The 21,780-nt window shown below is 38.1% G+C and overlaps 1 protein-coding gene across 1 annotated transcript in view, besides 1 other annotated feature; it reads right to left on the bottom strand.

Moving 5' to 3' along the window:
* The window catches only part of NXPE2 (neurexophilin and PC-esterase domain family member 2), a 349,427-nt gene that overhangs the window by 323,065 nt on the left and 4,582 nt on the right, over nucleotides 1-21,780 (bottom strand). The gene's annotated exons all lie outside the window — the stretch shown is intronic.
* Nucleotides 21,404-21,604: a silencer, noted in NCBI's record as "peak1476 fragment used in MPRA reporter construct". NCBI's record gives its function as "represses an SCP1 promoter by STARR-seq MPRAs in K562 erythroleukemia cells {active_cell/tissue: K562}" and the evidence as "EXISTENCE:reporter gene assay evidence [ECO:0000049][PMID:32103011]".

Below are 21,780 nucleotides of genomic sequence, written 5' to 3'. Positions count from 1 at the left end.
GTTTTCCCAGCACCATTTATTAAATAGGGAATCCTTTCCCCATCGCTTGTTTTTGTCAGGTTTGTCAAAGATCAGATAGTTGTAGATATGCGGCATTATTTCTGAGGTCTCTGTTCTGTTCCATTGGTCTATATCTCTGTTTTGGTATCAGTACCATGCTGTTTTGATTACTGTAGCCTTGTAGTATAGCTTTAAGTCAGGTAGCGTGATGCCTCCAGCTTTGTTCTTTTGGCTTAGGATTGACTTGACAATGTGAGCTCTTTTTTGGTTCCATATGAACTTTAGTTTTTTCCAATTCTGTGAAGAAAGTCATTGGTAGCTTGATGGGGAGGCCAATGAATCCATAAATCATCTTGGGCAGTATGGCCATTTTCACGATATTGATTCTTCCTACCCATGAGCATGGAATGTTCTTCCATTTGATTGTATCCTCTTTTATTTCATTGAGCAGTGGTTTGTAGTTCTTCTTGAAGAGGTCCTTCACGTCCCTTGTAAGTTGGATTCCTAGGTATTTTATTCTCTTTGAAGCAATTGTGAATGGGAGTTCACTCATGATTTGGCTCTCTGTTTGTCTGTTATTGGTGTATAAGAATGCTCGTGATTTTTGCACATTGATTTTGTATCCTGAGACTGCTGAAGTTGCTTATCAGCTTGAGGAGATTTTGGGCTGAGACGACGGGGTTTTCTAGATATACAATCATGTCATCTGCAAACAGGGACAATGTGACTTCCTCTTTTCCTAATTGAATGCCCTTTCTTCCCTTCTCCTGCCTGATTGCCCTGGCCAGAACTTCCAACCCTATGTTGAATAGGAGTGGTGAGAGAGGGCATCCGTGTCTTGTGCCAGTTTTCAAAGGGAATGCTCCCAGTTTTTGTCCATTCAGTATGACACTGGCTGTGGGTTTGTCATAGATAGCTCTTATTATTTTGAGATATGTCCCATCAATACCTAATTTAGTGAGAGTTTCTAGCATGAAGCGTTGTTGAATTTTGTCAAAGGCCTTTTCTGCATCTGTTGAGACAATCATGTGGTTTTTGTCTTTGGTTCTGTTTATATGCTGGATTACGTTTATTGATTTGCATATGTTGAACCAGCCTTGCATCCCAGGGATGAAGCCCACTTGATCATGGTGGATAAGCTTTTTGATGTGCTGCTGGATTCCGTTTGCCAGTATTTTATTGAAGATTTTTGCATCAATGTTCATCAAGGATATTGGTCTAAAATTCTCTTTTTTTGTTGTGTCTCTGCCAGGCTTTGGTATCAGGATGATGCTGGCCTCATAAAATGAGTTAGGGAGGATTCCCGTTTTCTACTGATTGGAATAGTTTCAGATGGAATGGTACCAGCTCCTCTTTGTACCTCTGGTAGAATTCGGCTGTGAATCCATCTGGTCCCGGACTTTTTTTGGTTGGTAAGCTATTAATTATTGCCTCAATTTCAGAGCCTGTTATTGGTCTATTCAGAGATTCAACTTCTTCCTGGTTTAGTCTTGGGAGGGTGTATGTGTCGAGGAATTTATCCATTTCTTCTAGATTTTCTAGTTTATTTGCATAGAGGTGTTTATAGTATTCTCTGATGGTAATTTGTATTTCTGGAGGATCAGTGGTCATATCCCCTTTGTCATTTTTTATTGCGTCTATTTGATTCTTCTCTCTTTTCTTCTTTATTAGTCTTGCTAGCGGTCTATCAATTTTGTTGATCTTTTCAAAAAACCAGCTCCTGGATTCATTGATTTTTTGAAGGGTTTTTTGTGTCTCTATCTCCTTCAGTTCTGCTCTGATCTTAGTTATTTCTTGCCTTCTGCTAGCTTTTGAATGTGTTTGCTCTTGCTTCTCTAGTTCTTTTAATTGTGATGTTAGGGTGTCAATTTTTCATCTTTCCTGCTTTCTCTTGTGGGCATTTAGTGCTATAAATTTCCCTCTACACATTGCTTTGAATGTGTCCCAGAGATTCTGGTATGTTGTGTCTTTGTTCTCATTGGTTTCAAAGAACATCTTTATTTCTGCCTTCATTTCGTTATGTATCCAGTAGTCATTCAGGAGCAGGCTGTTCAGTTTCCATGTAGTTGAGCAGTTTTGAGTGAGTTTCTTAATCCTGAGTTCTAGTTTGATTGCACTGTGGTCTGAGAGACAGTTAGTTATAATTTCTGTTCTTTTACATTTGCTGAGGAGTGCTTTACTTCCAACTAGGAAAGTTGATGTTTTCAAAAGATAAACAAAATTGACAAACGTTTAGCTCAACTAAGAAAAAAAGAGAGAAGACCTAAATAAATAAAGAGGAAAAAGGAGACATTAAAACCAAAACTACACAAATGCAAAGGATCATTAGAGGCTACTATGAGCAACCACATGCCAATAAATTGGAAAACCTAGAAGTAACTGATAGATTCCTAGGCACGTAAAACCTCCCAATATTAAGTCATGAATAAATCCAAAACCTAAATAGGCCAATCACAAGTAATAATATTGAAGCCATAACAAAAAGTCTCCCAGCAAAGAAAAGCCCAGGACCTGATGGCTTCATTGCTGAATTCTCCCAAGTGTTTAAAGAATGAATAGCAATCTTACTCATACTATTCCAAAAAATAAAGGAGGTTAGAATACTTCCAAACTCATTCTATGAAGGCTGTTTTACTCTGACACCAAAACCAGATCATAATATATCAAAAAAGGAAAGCTAAAGGTCAATATCACTGATAAACATTGATGCAAAAATCCTCAACAAAATACTAGCAAACTGAATTCAACAACACATTAAAATGATCATTCATCATAACCAAGTGGGATTTATCCCAGGGACGCAAGGATGGCTCAACATATGCAAATCAATGTGATATATCATATCACATACAAAAACCATACGATCACTTCAATTAATGCTGAAAAAGCATTTGATAAAATTCAACATCCCTTCATGATAAAAACCCTTAAAAAAACTGGGTATAGAAGGAACAGACCTCAACACAATAAAAGTAATGTGCCACAGACCCATAGCTAGTATCATACTGAATGGAGAAAACTTAAAGCCTTTTCTCTAAGATCTGGAACAAGACAAGTATGCCCAGTTTTACAACTGTTGTCCAACATAGGATGGGAAGTCCTAGCTAGAGCAATCAGACAAGAGAAACAAATAAAAGGCATCCAAACTGGAAAGGAAGTTTTATAGCAATTAGAAAGGAAGAAGTCAAATTATCCTTGTTTGCAGATGATGTGAGCTTGTATTTGGAAAAACCTAAAGACTCCACCAAATAACTATTAGAACTGATACGAAAATTCAGTAAACTTGCAGGATACAAAATCAACATACAAAAATCAGTAGCATCTCTGTATACCAATAGTAAACAATCTGAAAAAGAAATCAAGGAAGTAATTCAATTTACAATAGTTATAAATAAAATTAAATACCTAGGAATAAATTTAACCAAAGAAGTGAAAGCTCTCTATAATGAAAACTATAAAACACTGATGCAAGAAACTTTTTTCATACAAAAAGGAAAGACATTCCATATTCATTGACTGGTAGAATCAATATTGTTAAAATGTCCATACTGCCCAAAGCAATCTTCAGATTCAATGCAATTTCTATCAAAATACCAATAATATTCTTCACAGAAATAGAAAAAAAAATCCTAAAATGTACATAATACCACAAAGAAGACCCAGAATAGCAAAGCTATCATGAGCAAAAAGAACAGAACTGGAGAAATCACATTGCCTGACTTCAAGCTATACTACAGACGTATTGTAAACAAGACAGCATAGTACTGGCATAACAAGAAACACACAGACCAATAGAACAGAATAGAGAACCCAGAAACAAATCCATACATCTACAATGAACTCATTTTTGACAAAGGTACCAAGAATATACATTGGGGAAAGGACAGTCTCTTCAATAAATGATGCTGGGAAAACTGGATATCCATATGCAGAAAAATGAAACAACCCCTATCTCTCACCATAAACAAGCATCAAATCAAAATGGATTAAACATTTAAATCTAAGACCTCAAACTATGAAACTACTAGAAGAAAACATTGGGGAAACTCTCCAGGACACTGGAGTAGTCAAGGATTTCTTGACTATAATACATAATCACAGGCAACCAAGCAAAAATGGACAAATGGGATCATATCAAATTATAAAGCCTCTGTACAGCAAAGGAAACAATCCACAAAGTGAAGAGACAACCCACAGAATGGGAGAAAATATTTGCAACCTACTCACCTGACAAGGCATTAATAACCAGAATATATAAGGAGCTCAAATGTCTCTATAGGAAAATATCTAATAATCCAATTTAAAAATGGGCAAAAGATATGAACTGACATTTCTACAAAGAAGACATACCAATGGCAAACAGGTATATGAAAACATGCTCAACCTTATTGATCATCAGAGAAATGCAAATCAAAACTACAGTGAGCTATCACCTTACCCCAGTTATAATAAAATGGCTTTTATCCAAAACACAGGCAATAAAAAATGCTGGTGAGAATGTGGAGAAAAAGGAACCCTTGTACACTGTTGGTGGGAATGTAAATTAGTACAACCACTATGAAGAACAGTTTGGTAGTTCCTCAAAAAAACAAAAATAGAACTATCATACAATCCAGCAATTCCACTGCTAAGCATATACCCCCAAAAATGGAAATCAGTATATTAAAGAAATATCTGCACTCTCATGTTTATTGCAGCACAATAGCCAAAAGTTAGGATCAACCTAAGTGTCCATCGACAGATGAATGAATAAAGAAAATGTAGTACATATACACAATGGAGTACTATTTAGCCGTAAAAAACAATGAGGTCCTGTCATTTGCAACATCAGGGATGGAACTGGAGGTCATTATGTTAAGTGAAATAAGCCAGGCACGGAAAGAAAAACTTCACGTGTTCTCACTTACTTGTGGGAGCTAAAAACTTAAAACAATTGAACTCATGGAGATAGAAGGATGGTTACCAGACACTGGGAAGGGTAGTGTGTTTGGGGAGTGGGGATGATTAATGGGTACAAAAATACAGTGGATAAATAAGATTTATTATTTGATAGCACAACAGGGTGACTATAGTCAACAATAATGTATTGTACATTTAAAAACTAGAATGGCCAGGCGTGGTGGTTCACGCCTGTAATCCCAACACTTTGGGAGGCCGAGGTGGCAGGATCACTTGAGGTCAGGAGTTCAAGACCAGCCTGGCCAACATGGTGAAACCCCGTCTCTACTTAAAAAAAAAAAAAAAAAAAAAAAAAGACAAAAATTAGCCAGGCGTGATGGTAGGCACCTGCAATCCCAGCTACTCAGGAAGCTGAGGCAGGAGAATTGCTTCCACCTGGGAGGTGGAGGATGCAGTGAGCCAAGATCGTGCCACTACACTCCAGCCTGGGCAACAGAGTAAGAGACTGTCTCAAAAAATAAAAATAACTAGAAATATATAATTGAATTGTTTATAACACAAGGGAAGTATAAATGTTTGAGATGATGGATACCCCTTTTACCCTGATGTGTTTAATACACATTGTATGCCTATATCAAAATATCTCATATACCCCATAAATACATACACCTATTATGTTACCACAAAAATTTGAAATTTAAAAAAATATCATTTGGAATCAAAACAACCCTCTCTGGGAGGAGGAGGAAGAGTTATTCCCATTTAGCAGAAAAGGACACTAAGGATCAAAGTGATAAATTGACTTGCTCTAAGTCACCCAGTTAGCACCCAGCTAGGAAATACTATTAACAGTGACTATGTCTTGGAGATGGAATTATGAATGATTATTTTTCTGCTTTTTTATCATTCTATAAACAAATAGAAATAAGAACATTTTTGAAAGACTAAAGTGATATAAATTTCATTTCCCATATGTCATGTTATCCTGCAAGTCCCACCTACCTAATCAACAATGTTCATCATTTCAGGTGGAAAGAGAAGTGTTGCTCAGTTTACATGTTCAAACCAGAATTCTAGCCCGCAGAAACAGAAAAGACGTGAAAGCTAACTTGGTTTGTTTTTTAAGGAGAATAACGGGGATTTCTAATATCCCTTCATATATTGTAGATCATAAATCAAGAGAGTCAAGTCTGGCCAACTTGATCAGAATCTTACAAAAAGCCACGGAGTAGACAACAAAAAAGATATGGCATTCCCGCTACCTAGAGAGGAAAGGTGGAAAGCCCTTTGGGCACTGGGAAAACAAGCCCAGAGAGGAGAAAGAAAAAGAGAGAGGGAGAGAGCACATGCAGTCATCAAGGACGTCCTCAATTCTACCCCCCCACATCCCAAACTTAGGGAAAGTGCAATAAAAATACCCCAGATAGTTTGAGGCTATGCCAAAAGCAAAGAGGGGACTTGAATTTCACTTTCCACTTGGAATTTTGATAACTGAATAACTTGCAGGATATATAATTCCATTAGTCAATTGGAAAGGACGGCAGAGTTGAACAATACAAAGGGATAGGGGAGGGGTATGGAAAAGGAGAGCTGCTGAGTCACATTAGGTCATCAGCATCAGTAGGAGCCCAGTGGGGGCTCAGTCATCAGGAAGACATGACGGAGAACTTTCCCAAGTTCTCCATGGAAGAGCAACCATCTTTCATTTCCCTTGACTGGAAAACAGGCCACAAGCTACACAACCCATAAAAGCATCAGTGGTAGATGCAGAAAGAATAGCATCAGACACTCAAAGGTGAGGTAGCATGAGTTGCACATCAGCCAGGGGTCAGTGGGAAGCAGCAGAGGAACAGTCCTCTTGGGATGGAACTCCTACTACCACGAGGTGATGCAAGCTTCTTTCTCTGCCCAGAGACCAATCAGGGAAAGAGAAGAAGGAAGGGAGTGTGATCACAGGGGTATGGCAGGGAGAGGAATCCTCTAAGACTTTCCATTCTACCAACAAAAGAAATGTGGGAGTCATCTGAAAGATACCCGCTTAAACTGTAATAGACTATTGCCTGGGATGGGAACTTTTGCTTTTTCCCCTACCCATCAACAACAGGAACAATATTAAGCCAGACACAGAAAAGTTAGAAAGCTATATATCTGAGTTTTGGTTGATCAATTTTAACTCTATGTGTTTTTCCTAAGAACAGCGACCATGTGTTTAGTACTAAGATGTGCCAGGCACTGGGCTTAAGGCCTTGCATTTATACAACAATCTCCTAAGGCAGGTGCTATCATTATCCTTGGATAAAAGAGCAAACTGTGCTTTAGAAAACTTACGTAAATTTGATCAAGATTAGACAGCAAATAAGTGACAGAGCTAAGATTTGAACACAACGCCAGAATCCTCTCACTCTAACCACTATGTAATACTACCTATATGTTATTATTATACTTATTTTTCAGATGCTTAAAGAGTCCAAATGAGTAGCCCAACCAGCGAGTGGCAGAGCTGGGGTTTAAACCAAAGCAGTCTGGCTCAAATATGTCAGCTGCTATTTCTTAAACAATTTAAGTATTTTAACAAATCTATATATTGAAATTGTAAAATCTTACTGTTGCTTTCAAAACTTATGTTTATAAGGAATATACAGACTATAGATTAGGGTAGTAGTAAATGAAAAATGAAAAGCAAAGAGAATATAAAGTAAGTTTGGCAAGGTTTCCTAAGTAGAAACTTTGTGAATGACAAACGCTAGGAAGTGAAGGAGGAGTAGAATTATTAGTAGCTGGATGCTGGGAGCAGTGGGAGGAACCTAACTGTTGTAATCCAATGATGAGAAATTACAACTAACAATTGGCTGAAAAAAAACTCTGTGGATTGATTGTACATTCGCAGATCTCTCAAGGCAACCACACCTCCTATGGGAACAAAGCTTCTTATGAAATGACACACATACAGAGTAGAGAAGTGTTGGAGAAAGTCTTAGTGCACTCAGATTCAAAATACAGTGGTGGAAGGCATGGGATTGACAGATTAGACAAATGTGATAGTAGTTGATGGCATTATGGGGCTAAGGTGGCCATACAAGACCTTAGTAGTTGCAGCTGTATTAACTAAGGCACCTTGCAGCTGCTTTCAAACAGGGATGAATAACTGAAGAAACATAATTGACTGTTATGCAGGGAGGAAGGGAGAAAGAGGATATGTAAATGTTGAAAATATAGTTAAAACTAATGAAAAATATGCTCTAAATCCCAAATAAAAAATCATGTTAGCATTGCTTTGTCTGTAAAGAGGAAATTGCCTAGGAATTTTTTCTGAAATTCTTTCATGAGTACTCAGGGTAACACTGAGACTGAACAGATAGTTCTAGTTGCTTAACTCAGTTTGTTAAACTGCAGTTTTGACAAGGCCAGTGTCTTGAATGTGGATCCCAGGTCAGCCAACTGCCTTGTTTTGGAGCTAACAGCTGCATTCCTAACCTCAGCCTCAATGCTGAGGAGCCTATACACTGCTGTGTTTTGTATTTGGATTTACAATAAGCTGTGAACTACTTAAGAGCAGGAAATATATTTTTTTCATCTCTGTATCCTCTCAACCTTGCATAGCTACTGACACGGTACAGGCACTCAATAAATGTGTGCGTGCCAGCCACCACTTGCCCAGGAGCACAAAATGAGAGAGGCTTTAATCCATCTTTCATTCTTCAGTTGAAAGGTGGATTAAAGCCTCTCTCAATTTGTGTATGGCTATTCTTAATGGTACCTGTGCTATGTTCCTTCAATGCCGAGGTAGGAGGAAAAGATGGTTGAATCTTTCGCTACAGTTACTTGCAAGTGTATAGGAAGGGTGGTGTATAAACATAGTGGTGTTGAATATTGCTTATGAGGGGTATTTGTTTTACTGAAGAGTGGAAAGGTGAATGAAAAGTACACAACTGAGATGAAGTCCTCAGTTCCCTTTAGAAGGGAGATAGATTTCAAAAATTTGCCAACAGACAGAATTAAATGCCATCAATGAGCATTTGAAAAGGAAACTGAATTACTACATGGGAGATTTCTACACTGCACCAGTAGATTTACTACTTCCCAAAGGTTTTTAAATTACATGTCTTCTAACTTAACTTTAAAATTCAAGTTTAATTTTATGAATTTCCTTAAATATGATCTGTGTTGTTGTTCTTACCAGGTGTCATTCACCTTTTAGATTTGTATTTCTTATTTTTAAAATTTCACTTCCTTTTTCACACACACACACAAAATTAAAAGTATCTGCCCTCTTCACATGTTCTAAGGAAAGCGCTATTGTTGCCATTTTAATTTATCTGAGATAGTGTACTGCTCTTTTTAGGCAACAATGCTCTAAATTAAATTATCGTATGTGTTTTAAAACCTTACCAAAATCTGAGATGAGTTCCTTCTCTGTGCTAGGCTTACTTTGAAACCTGTTAAGAAACGAGATAGAAATTTCAGGACAGCAAGACACAAAAGACCAATCAAAGCTCTCTGATCATTCTCCTCAGGCAACACTAAGTATTATTCAAATATTACATCACAGTTTTAAGCCTTCTGTCAAAAGTGGGAAACCTTCACCCCACTGCCCCACACTAAGCTAGGAACTGACCTGGTCCTGAGGGTTAAACACCCAAGTTTTGTGGACACAACAGCACAAGGGTTCTGCCTCCTTTTATTTATCCCCTGGGATAGAAATGACGGGACCTCGACAAATCCAATCATAACTCTGGTATCTTGTTTGAGGCAGGTCCCTCTCCATCCCCTAGTTGAAACATTAAAACAGCAAGCAAGTATAATCTCTAGAGATTTCTCAAAGGAATCTAGCAAATACTGCCTTCCCTTGTTGTAATATAATTTATTTTCCTGAAAAGGAGCATACTGTTCTGAAGTAACTTAAAATTAAAAAGTCACAAATTAATTATCCTATTTTTTGTTACGGTAATTGCAGAAGGATAGGAATAGTGGGCTTCAGGCCCATAAAGGTATTTAATAAGGGTCTCCCACAACAATACAGTGAATACTTTAACCAACGGTCGCTGTATTAATTAGGATACTTTCAGTTGCTAATGACAAAAGCTTAAGTCAATTAGCTTAGGTAAGAAAGGTCATTATCACGTAACTGGTAAATAAGGGATTCAACATAACAGCTAGAATCACCTCTCACACAGTGTCATCAGAGCTCATTGCTCTCCATTTTTCAACTTTGCTTCTGGTTGTGCACCAGCTTCCTTCTTCAGAAAAGCTCTCACATGCAGCAGGAAAGGTGGCTGCTCATGGACCAGATTAACGTCTTTTTAGCTTAGCAAACACAATAGGAAAGAAAGAATTTTCTCCCCAACATTCATTTATCTATCCTAGAAAGAAATCTGTATGGGCCATGTGGCCACCCCTGAGCCAATCACTTGGCCAAGGGATTATAGTTTTCCTTCCATCTTCCTAGCTGTTCCTTTTTAGTATCTACTGCTGGCTCTTCTTCCTCTTCCTTGACCAAAACAGTCTGACATTGCTCTGGCTTCCTTCTGGGTCTTCTTTCCTTCTCCATCTAGAGGCTTTCTTTGGGCAGTGGTATGGTTTGGATGTGTGTCCCCCTCCAAATTTCATGTTGAAATGTGATCCCCAGTGTTGGAGATGAGGCCTAGTGGGAAATGTTTGGGTCATGGGGTTGGACTCCTCACAAATGGCTTGGTGTGCTCCCCACAGTAATGAGTGAGTTATCTATTAGTTCACAGGACAGCTGGTTATTTTAAAAAGCCTGATGTCTCTCTTGCTCCTTCTCTCTCCATGTGACACATCTGCTCCCTCTTCACCTTCCACCATGATTATAAGCTTCCTGACCCCCTCGTCAGAAGCGGATGTCCTCCTATGCTTCTTGTACAGCCTGCAGAACTGTGAGCCAAATAAACCTCTTTTCTTTATAAATTACTCAGGCTTGGGTATTCCTTTATAGCTATGCAAAATGAACTAACACCGTGGGGTCTCATCCATTGCCCTCCAATTGCCATCTCTCAGCTGTCCACTCTCAAATCTACATGCAAACTCCAGCCCTGTCTCCTAAGCTTCAAACTGCTGGATCTAACTGCCTACTAAACATCTCTGCATGGCTGACTCGGTGTCCAAAATATTAACTCCTCCTTCCTATACCTCAATTCCAACTGCTGTTCCTCCCAGTGTTCACCATCTCAGGAAATGACATCACCACCCAGCCCATTACTCAAGTCTGAAACCTGGGAGTCATCCTTGATTCCTTCTTCTCCCTCAGCAACTCCTTTCACATTTAAACAATCACAAGATCCTATTCCACTCCTAAATATTTCTCAAATGCTTAGTGACATAGATGTCCCTTCTCTATATGCCCACTAGTCCAAGCTACCCTTATTCTTTGCCTAACTACTACAGTAGCTCCCTAAATCCCTTACAACCATTCTTGCCCCATCCTTCCATCAATCGAATCAAATCCAATTATACCAATCTCTGGCTTTAAAACGTTCAAAGGCTTTATAGCCCAGAGTGTCCAAAGGAAAGTATTGGGACTAATTGCATCAGAACAAGAGGAGCTTGTTAAAGTATGGGCTCTTGAGCTGCACCAAACCGAAAGAATCAAAAGCTCTAGGAACGGGCTCAAGGCACTGAATTTTTAATCCTAAATCTTTATTAAGGTTTGCAGGCCCTCCATAACTTGACCTCTTGCAGTTCCAGGTTAGGACATTTCACAATATTATCCTATAGATGGCACTTTGTGCTTTTCCATGAGTCACACTCATGGCACTGGCTCCTGCTGGTAATACCACTGGTTAAATGTCTCATTCCCTGCCGGAACATAAACTCCAAAGGGAACAGAAGCATGCCTGTCTTTTTTACCATTTGTCCCTGGCGCCCAGGACAATAGGCACAACATCTGACATTTAATATTCATTGGCATTGCCAGAATAAAAGAGAACTGAATTTGAAGGGCTTTCTCCAAAGCAGGGTTGGTTAAACTTACCTAAAAATGCCTTCCTTTGTTGAGATAGTGAATAAACCAAGAAAGGGCTTGGATAACAATAATTGGAGTAAGTTAATTAGTGGCCTGAAGGAGAAAGTTTACTTTTCAAAGTTAAATTATATTTGGAGACTCTTCTCTAGTCTCCAGTGAGATCAAATGAACAGAAATATACTTTGGACCACATTCAAGGAATTTCAGATTATAAGTACTGTAAGGGTAAACCCAAATCCAAAAAAATAAAAATATAAAAATCCTGGTGTAAAAAGGGAAAGGGAAAGACACCTCCTCTCCCTTATCCTGGAGCATTTCCTTTAGAAAATTTGCAATTGTAAATTCTTTGAGATGTCTGTAAATCTTTTCAAAAGCTAAACAAACCTTCTTGCCAGCTTTACAACCAAGGAATGTCTTTCTCAAGGACCTGGAAGCCATCTCTTTGAAATGTAAACATCAAGGAAGAGAGTGCCCCTATCTCCCAGACTCCATGAGAGTTAATTTAAGTATCTGGCTCCAAATTGTAACTACCTCCCCGTCACAGAGATATGAGAAGTACTATTATTCCTTTGGGTAAAAGCAATTACCAAACACAAATGTCCACCCTCATTACCTGGTGAATCTAGGATGAAATATGTGTGTGTGACAAATGGTGTTACTACAACCTCTTTCGTACTTGGGGTGGGGGAGGGGGCAGTGTCAAACAATGGCCAGCAGATATAGCAGGAACTCTAGTCCATAGATATTTAGGTATGTTAAAAGTTTCCATGCAACACTGAGGGATGTGAAACTGTTTTACTAGGTACCACTCTTTGTTAAGATCACTCCGATCACCAAAGGCAAAGCAATACTTTACTTATCAAGAACTTCGTCCTTTTTAGCCAAACCAACTTACCATGCTCTAAGAAAAAGAAAGGGATTCTTTTTCTTTTATACATAAGCAGATAACAATACTTGAATTGTTCAAGTATTGAATTCAATACTTGAATTGGGTTACCCAATATTTTCATGTTCTAGAATTTTATATAAGTAGAATCATAGAGTATTTACTCCTGGTCTGGGTTCATTCACTCAGCATAGTATTTGAAGTTTCACCCATATTGCTGCACATGTCAGTAGCCATTCGTTTTTCTTGCAATATCTTTAGTATACTATTCATACACTTTTCCTCCCACAGAACTCCAAAATTTCAGGTTTACTATTGAGTATTCTTTCCTTTTTTTGTGGAGGGTGTTGTCTTTGTACCCCCACCATTTTATTAAGGTATACCTGCCAAATTTAAATTATGCATATTTACAGTGTACATGTAATGTTTTGATATATGTATACATTGTGAAATGATTAAATTAAGCTATTTAATATATCCATCGCCTCACATACTTATTGTTTTGTAGTGAGGGCATTAAATATCTAATATCTTAACAATTTACAAGTATACAAAACATTATTAACTATAGTCACCATCTCTACAATAGGTCTCCAGAGCTTTCTCATCTTGTCTAACTGAAATTTGTACCCTTTCACCAGCATCTCCCCATTCGTTTTGCTCCAAGTCCTTGACAACCACCATTCTACTCTCTGCTTCTATTAGTTTGACTTTTTGGATTCCACATATAAGTCCATTCCTTTTCATTGCTAAACAGCACTCCATTGTATAAATATGCCACAATATATTTATCTAATCACCTGTGGAAGGACATTTTGGTCATTTCTAGTTTAGGGCTATCACAAATAAAGCTATCATAAACACTCATGTGCAAGTCTTTGTCCTAGAAGTGGAATGATAGAGTCATATGGTAGATGTACATTTAATTTAATAATATAACTTAATAGCTTTAGGGGGCTTCTTTTGGTTATAAGCAATTACCTCTTCCACAACCAGCTCGTCCTCCCTTCAATACCCACTACCTCCACACACACTATTGATATGGTTTAGCTTTGTGTCCCCACCCAAATCTCATCTCAAATTGTAATCTCCAGGTGTTGGGCAAGGAACCTGGTGGGAGGTGATTGGATCATGGGGCAGTTTCCTCCATGCTGTTCTCATGACAGTGAGTTCTCAAGAGATCTGATGGTTTTATAAGGGGCTCTTCCCCTTTTGCTTTCACTCTCTCTCTCTCTTGCCACCTTGTGAAGAAGGTGCTTGCTTCCCCTTCACCTTCCACCATGACTGTAAGTTTCCTGAGGCTTAACCCAGCCATGAGGAACTGTGAGTTAATTAAACAAACCTCTTTCCTTTATAAGTTACCCAGTCTCAGGTATTCTTTATAGCAGTGTGAAAATGGACAAATACAACTATTATGCTTTGTTTCAATTTAAATACATAAGAGTCTTAATTTTATAACTGGAAGAAGAGGATATATTTGTGGAGAGAGGAACAAAGGTAGAAAGAAGAAGAAATGTTGCAATGGGTCTCCTGAAGAGCTAATTTGTACATGTTTATGTATAATTAATTTGTAGCATTATAGAGAGATATGTATACAACTTCAAGTCAGGTTTTACCTAAATGTGACTTTAAGTAAAGTCTTTACACATAAGAAGACTTTATTTTTTATCAATATTTTACTTTAAAGCTATTACTACAGGTGGTCCTCACTGTGCACAGGTTCTGTACACCATTCTAATATGCAGAAATTTCAGTTACCATAGTTTAATTAACACCAATCCCTCAACAACATGGTTCAAATTTCAGTCACCATGTGAATTATATGTGAGTAACTGCATACAATATAAAGTTCACTGCTAGCTTTTCAGTCCACAAATCACCATGTAAGTAACAGATGGGCATCACGATCAGTGACCAGTCACATCATTTCTTCCCAAGTCTGTTGGTGATTGGCTACTGTGTGTGTGTGTTATTCAGTTCAGGCAGAGATGGCCAAGTGTGTAGTTGTGTTACCTCCTTCTCTCCCGGTAATAAATCCAAGTGACATTTTACAAAACTGGATAATTGAAAGTGGGAATTGACCAAAAGGATGAAAGTGCAGCAAGGAAACAAAAAGCGATGTCACTGGAAATGACATTCAAATTGAACATAAATGGGGTTACAGAAGAGAGAGCTAACCATGGAAATGTTGACACTGCCACTGTTGGAAAGACTCTAGATATGCAGCCTGAGGGACATCATGAAGGCAAACTTAAGGACATAAATGAGCGAAGTGGTTGTGGCAAAAAGGATGAAGATGCCCTAGAGGAACTGATGCCAGCAAAAAGTCCACATTAAGGCCAGGTGTGATGGCTCATGCCTGTAATCCCAGCACTTTGGGAGGCCGAGGTGATCAAGAGGTCAGGAGTTCGAGACCAGCCTGGCCAACATGGCGAAACCCCATCTCTACTAAAAATACAAAAATTAGGTGGGCATGGTGACACACACCTGTGATCCCAGCTACTGGAGAGGCTGAGGCAGGAGAATCACTTGAACCCGGGAGGCGGAGCTTGTAGTGAGTGGAGATCGCACTACTGCACTCTAGCCTGGGCGACAGAGCGAGACTCCATCTCAAAAAAAAAAAAAAAAAAAAAAAAAAAAAAAAAAACAGTTCACATTAAATGTATTCTCAGAGACATTTCACAACATTGAAAGATGAAAGGATAAAATGTTGGAAACTGACCCAAACGTAGAAATGATGCTTCCTTCATACAGTAAGCTGTATGATGAGAAGGCAAGTGATGTTCACATTTCTCCTAAGTTTTTTAGAATAAAATGCAATATTTTAATTTTTAATGTTCCTAATGTCATAAATTACAGTGTACTATAAATATTAGTTTTACTATTTTTTCACTTCCAAATACATGAATAATCACCAGTTATAGAGTTTTGAACGTTTTGACAAAAATTTTTAAAGGTCACACGACAATCATAATCCTTCCCATTGATTTTGAAGATTGCTTTGCATAGTTTTCGCTTGCATGGTCCTTGCTATCATGCAAAGCAAGGACTGCCTCAATTCTTTATTCCTCATTAAACAAAATACAAGTACCTGAAACGGTGTCTGTCACACAGTAAGTACTCAATATATGTCACCTATCGTTTCAAAGATATTACATACCGTTTTTCACCTTTATTGCAAAGCTTCTTTTTTTAATATCTATACTTGCTGCTCCTATTTTGCTCCTTCCATTGTCTCTTGAAATCATTTCAATCAGGCTTTGTCCGCATCCCTCCACCAGAACTGCTCTCATCAAAGTCATCAATCACTGCTGAATGGCTAAATCCAATGATAACTGTAAGTCTTACTTGATACACTTGACAATAGCATTTAATGCAATTAATCAAGAAAGACTGACTTCTAAACACCACCCTCCCCTGGTTTCCTCCTACCTTATAGGCTAATCCTACAGGATCAGGTTTCCTATAGGATCCTATGGGAAAAGGTTCCATTTGCTTGCTAGTCACTACTCTCTCTGACACCTAAATGCCTGACATCTAAATGTCAGAGTGCCCTGGGGCTCAACCTTTGGATCTCCTCTCTAACTGCAATTACTCCCTTGTTGACCTCATCCATTCTCATGATGTCAAATGCCATTCATATACGGATGGACCCAAATCTTTACCTCCAGGTCTGACCTTTCTCCTGAAATCCAAACTTGTAGCTTCAACTATCTATTCTATATCTCTCCTTATGGCGGCTACTAGACAACTGAAACTTAACTGTGCAAAAGCAAATTGATGTTCCTTCCCAGACCTCTTCATCTTTATTTTTCTCTACTTCATAAAGGATACTTTAATTTACTGGAAACCTTGAATATATCTTTAACTCTCTCTTTCTCGCCCCCATCCTTCCTGCCCTCCACCCCACCCCAGCCTTCTCTTCCATCCCAACACTCTCAAACACACATTTAAGTCATCAGCATATTCTGTCAACCTCTGAGCTATTCCCGTTTTAGAGGTAAAGAAACCGAGCCATGAAAAAGTTACTTACTGGTTCAAGGTCACAGAATTAATCTGCAGCAGGACTGAAATTGAAAACCAGGTAGGCTTGCTTTAGAGTTTTTAAATGGCAATTTCCTCAATTCTAGTCCTCAAGGATTCCAAAATATTGAGGTCTAATTTCAAGAATGCTTTTGATAAAGACAAAACTAAACAATTTCTAACATTTCTTCCAATGAAACAATTCAGTAAGTAAATGTATACCTAATACAAAACATAGCTTTGTAAACCAAAACATAGTCTGTAATGAAGTTTATCAGTTTTATAACCTCTGTGTTTGTATATATTATTCTTGAAAATTGAGATATTTTTCTGTTTCTTGTTTTTTATAAACTCACAGTGTATCACAACGTTTTATCCATTATAAAGGAATGCCCTAGCGAAAAGTAAATTCCAATTTTTTGGAAATCTTGAGAACTAGAAGTAAGGAAATTTGTTATTTAGAAACTACATGTAGTTTTTATTCTTCTCTAGAAATAGATGATTGAAATCACCTTAACACACTGATTATTGTGGCAAAAACACTCTTTCATGTTGCAAAGATGAAGCAAAGAACTTATTCTCAAAAAGGAAATGTTGAGAAAATCAAAAGCAATTTTCTCAGCAAGGAGGCAAGAAAACTGGATAAGCTTGATCTAATCTAATCTGATTTAATCACTATCCCAAGACTGACTTGGGGAAAGCGGTATTTGGGGAGACCCTCAGAAAAATCCTGACAACCTTCATCATCTAATATTTCTTTTCTCAGAGAAAGAGATTAAATAAGCAGATTACAATTGTTGTCTGTTATTATTCAGTTATAGTAATGCCTATGTGTCTCTTTTCCAGATGTTCAACACTGAAGGATAAAAAAAATTGCACTTGAAAATCACTTGCTCAAAAACCTCTTTGAACACTGTACTGGCATTTTTATTAGAAACACATTTAAAACAAAACAACCCCCCCACCTTCATTTCCCAAACAAGGAAAGCCGGTTATGATAGGATGACATCATGAACCCATATGTTTGCCATGAGAAGACAAGAAAAGTCTTCACTTGCTTCATTTGAAACAGTTGCCTGCCATTACGTAGAACATTCATGATGGGGATTAGTGCTTTTATAAAAGAGACCACAGAGAGCTAGTTCTTCCTTCCACTATGTGAGGACCAGCAAGAAGTGGGCCCCTGCCAGACACCAAGTCTGACAGCACCTTGATCTTGGACTTCCCAGCCTCTAGAACTGTGAGAAATAAATCTCTGTTGTTTATAACCCACCCAGTCTATGCTATTTTGTTATAGCAGCCTGCACAGACTAAGACATAGTCTCATCATTCTTTAGAACAAGCTTGTCCAATCCACAGCCCGTGGGCCACATGTGACCCAGGATGGCTTTGAATGGGACCCAACACAAATTTGTAAACTTTCTTAAAACATTATAAGATTTTTTTGTGATTTTTTTTTTAGCTCCTCAGCTATCATTAGTGTTAGTGTATTTTATGTGTGGCCCAAGACAATTCTTCTTTGAAAGTGGCCCAGAGAAGCCAAAAGATTAAACACCCCTGCTTTAGGACAATTAAAACAGTGGGAGAGGGCTAGACCAAGCCAACAAATACAACTCTGCAGTTTGTGCTCGGTATGTGTTTCATGTATCCTGTCTTCCAAGCCTAATGTGAGGTTGCTTCAGCCCAGAGGAACGTGTGCCTCCTTGCAATTTGCACACAGACTCTGTATATGCTAGAGGTAGCCATGGGGCTAGAGGCCAAATGTTGTTTAGCATCACCTTTTATTGGGAATCAAACTTATTAAACTCTTTGATTTATCTTGGTGCCCTGAATTCTCTAAATACTAGGGGATTAAAGGGATCAAAGTAATGCTAAGACCAGAAAGTGGGAGTTACCCCTAATTTTGGCAAACCTGTAAGATAAAGTATACACTGCTTCTGACATTTTAGGGGGGTTGGTTGCTTGTTTTTGCTTTTATTCTATTTTTTATTCTATTCAGTCCCTAGGAAACATTACATTTCCTCAAAGGCATCATGCCCCAGTAATTTAGCTAAGATTTTGTACAGGCTGATTACCATATATGTCATTTACCAAGGCTAGCATTAATTACTGACAAGACGTTTGGAGGAGATAACCCAAGGCTCAATACCAACCAATAGGAAATGACCATTGGCAGCAGCTGTTCTGCTGCCTTGATTAAACGGGTTTTCTTGACTATATTAGAATGAGATGAGGACATGGAGGTTTTCTATGCTTCTTGTTGTTTACACTTAATTATTAATTTCCAGTTTTATTATGTTATGTGGCTCAAATCAAGAGTTTATATATGGCTAATAAGGTCAATTTTTATAAATGCTCCATAAATCTTTCAAGAATCCTTAGCCTTAAAATGAGGGTATATTATTAATTCTGTTATTTATACACTTATATGTGTTTTTGCATACTTGATCTGTAAAAAACTACTATTGTTTTTCAACAAATGGTGCTGGAAGAACTAAATACCCATATGCAAAAAGTGAACTTCAATTCATACCTCACACCATATACAAAAATTAACTCAAAATAGATTATAGACCTAGAGTAAAACCTCAATCTGTAAAACTTGTAGAGCAATAAAAGGACGAAATTTTTATGCCTTTGGCTGGGCAATGATTTCTTGGATATGACACCAAAAGCCTGATCTATTAAAGACAAAAATGATAAATTGGACTTCATGAAAATTAAGACATTCTCTTAGATAGGCACTGTTAAGAGAATGAAAATACAACCCAGGCTGGGAGAAAAGATTTGCTAATCACAAATCTTAGAGAGGACTAGAATCCAGAATATAAAAACTTCCAAAATTCAGTAAGAAAACAAACAACCTGTCATGGTTAATTTTTGAGTGTTAACTTGGCTAGGCCATTGTACTCGGTTTTTGGTCAAACAGTAGTCTAGATGTTGCTGTAAAGGTATTTTTTAGATGTAAATAACATTTAAATCAGTAGACTCTGAGTAAAGCAGATGACTCTCCATAACGTAGATAGACCTCCTCCAATCAGGTGTTGGTCTCAAGAGGAAACAGTGAGGTTGCCCAAAGAAAAAGAAATTATACCTCCAGCCTTTGGACTTGAGACTGCATCATCTCTTCCCAAGGACTCCAGTGGCCAGTGTGCCCTACAGATTTTGGACTTGCCAGCCCCCACAATAATGTGAGCCAATTCCTTAAACAAGTACCTCTCTGTATACACACACACACACACACACACACACACACACACACACACACGTCAATTCTTTTTCTCTGGAGAACCCTATTATACACCCAATTTTTTAAATGAGCAAAAGATCTGGACAGACATATCACCAAAGAAGACATACAGATAACAAATAAATACATGAAAAGATACTCAACATCATCAGTCATTTGCATTAGGGAAATGCAAATTAAAACTACAATGAGACACCACTATACACCTATTTAAATGTCTAAAATCCTAATGAGTAAGCATATTAAATGTTGGCAAGGATATGGAGTAACTGGAATTCTCTCACATAGTTGGTGAGAATATAAAATGGAACAATAACTTTAGTAAACAGTTTAGCAGTTTCCTGAAATGTTAAACTCATACTCACCATATAACCCAGCCATTCCATTCGTAGGTATTCTTCCAAGAGAAAAAAAAACATATGTCCATACAAAGACTTGTTCATGAATGTTCACAGCATCTTTATTTATAATAGCCAAAAATAGAAACAACCCACATGTCCATCAAAAGGTAAATCAATATACAAATTGTGGTATATCCATACAATGAAATGTTCCTTAGCAATAAAAAGGAATGAACTGTTGATACTTGCAAAAACATGGATATCACAAAATAAATGTGCTGAGTGGAAGAATACATACAAAACAAGAGTATATGCTGCATAATTTCACTTATATAAAACTCTAGAAGATGCAAACTCATCTATAAAGACAGAAAGAAGATTACTGGTTGACAGAATTGGAAAAGGGCATGAAGTGTGTGGAAGGAGGGATTATAAACAGGCACGAGGAAACTTTTGGAATGGTGGAAATGTTCATTACGTTAACTGTGGCATTATTTCACAGGCACAGACATATATTGAGGTGGGCGAATCACGAGGTCAGGAGTTCGAGACCAGCCTGGCCAACATGGTGAAATCCCGTCTCTACTAAAAATACAAAACATTAGCTGGGTGTGGTGGGGGGGGTGCATGTAATCCCAGCTACTCAGGAGGCTGAGGCAAGAGAATTGCTTGAACCCGGGAGGCGGAGGTTGCAGTGATCCGAGATTGCACCACTGCACTCTAGCCCAGGCGAGAGTGCGAGACTCCGTCTCAAAAAAAAAGTATGAAATTTTATACTTCAAATTTGTGCAGTTTATTGTATGTTGATTATACTTCAATAAAGCTATTCTTAAAAAGCTAGCACTGTGGCAAGGCGCGGTGGCTCACACCTGTAATCCTAGCACTTTGGGAGGCTGAGGCAGGCGGATCGCAAGGTCAAGAGATCGAGACCATCCTGGCTAACACGGTGAAACCCCGTCTCTACTAAAAATACACAAAAAATTAGCTGGGCATGGTGGCAGGCGCCTGTAGTCCCAGCTACTCGGGAGGCTGAGGCAGGAGAATGACATGAACCCAGGAGGCGGAGCTTGCAGTGAGTCATCGCACCACAGCACTCCAGCCTGGGTGACAGAGCAAGACTCCAGCTCAAAAAAAAAAAAAAAAAAAAAAAGCTAGCACTGTATTTAAATTACTCCTTACATTGTAACAGATTTTGTTTTATATATTTCAGGGTTATACTATTTAGTATCCAAAGTTTTATAACTATTTTCATTGTGAATTTTGCCTTTTTGTTAAAAAAATTACCCTGTCTGTAAATCATTTCACCTTAAATTTTATTTAGGCTAGTAGTAATGTAACCACTCTTCTCTAGAATGTTTGCATTTTTCGAACATGCATATTTCCCTTTGGCCTGGAGTCTCCA

Source organism: Homo sapiens, chromosome 11, assembly GCF_000001405.40.
Source record: "Homo sapiens chromosome 11, GRCh38.p14 Primary Assembly".
In the NCBI taxonomy this organism is placed as follows: domain Eukaryota; kingdom Metazoa; phylum Chordata; class Mammalia; order Primates; family Hominidae; genus Homo; species Homo sapiens.
The sequence above is the reverse complement of the archived record's forward strand: the minus strand, read 5'-3'. Positions and strand labels throughout refer to the sequence as shown.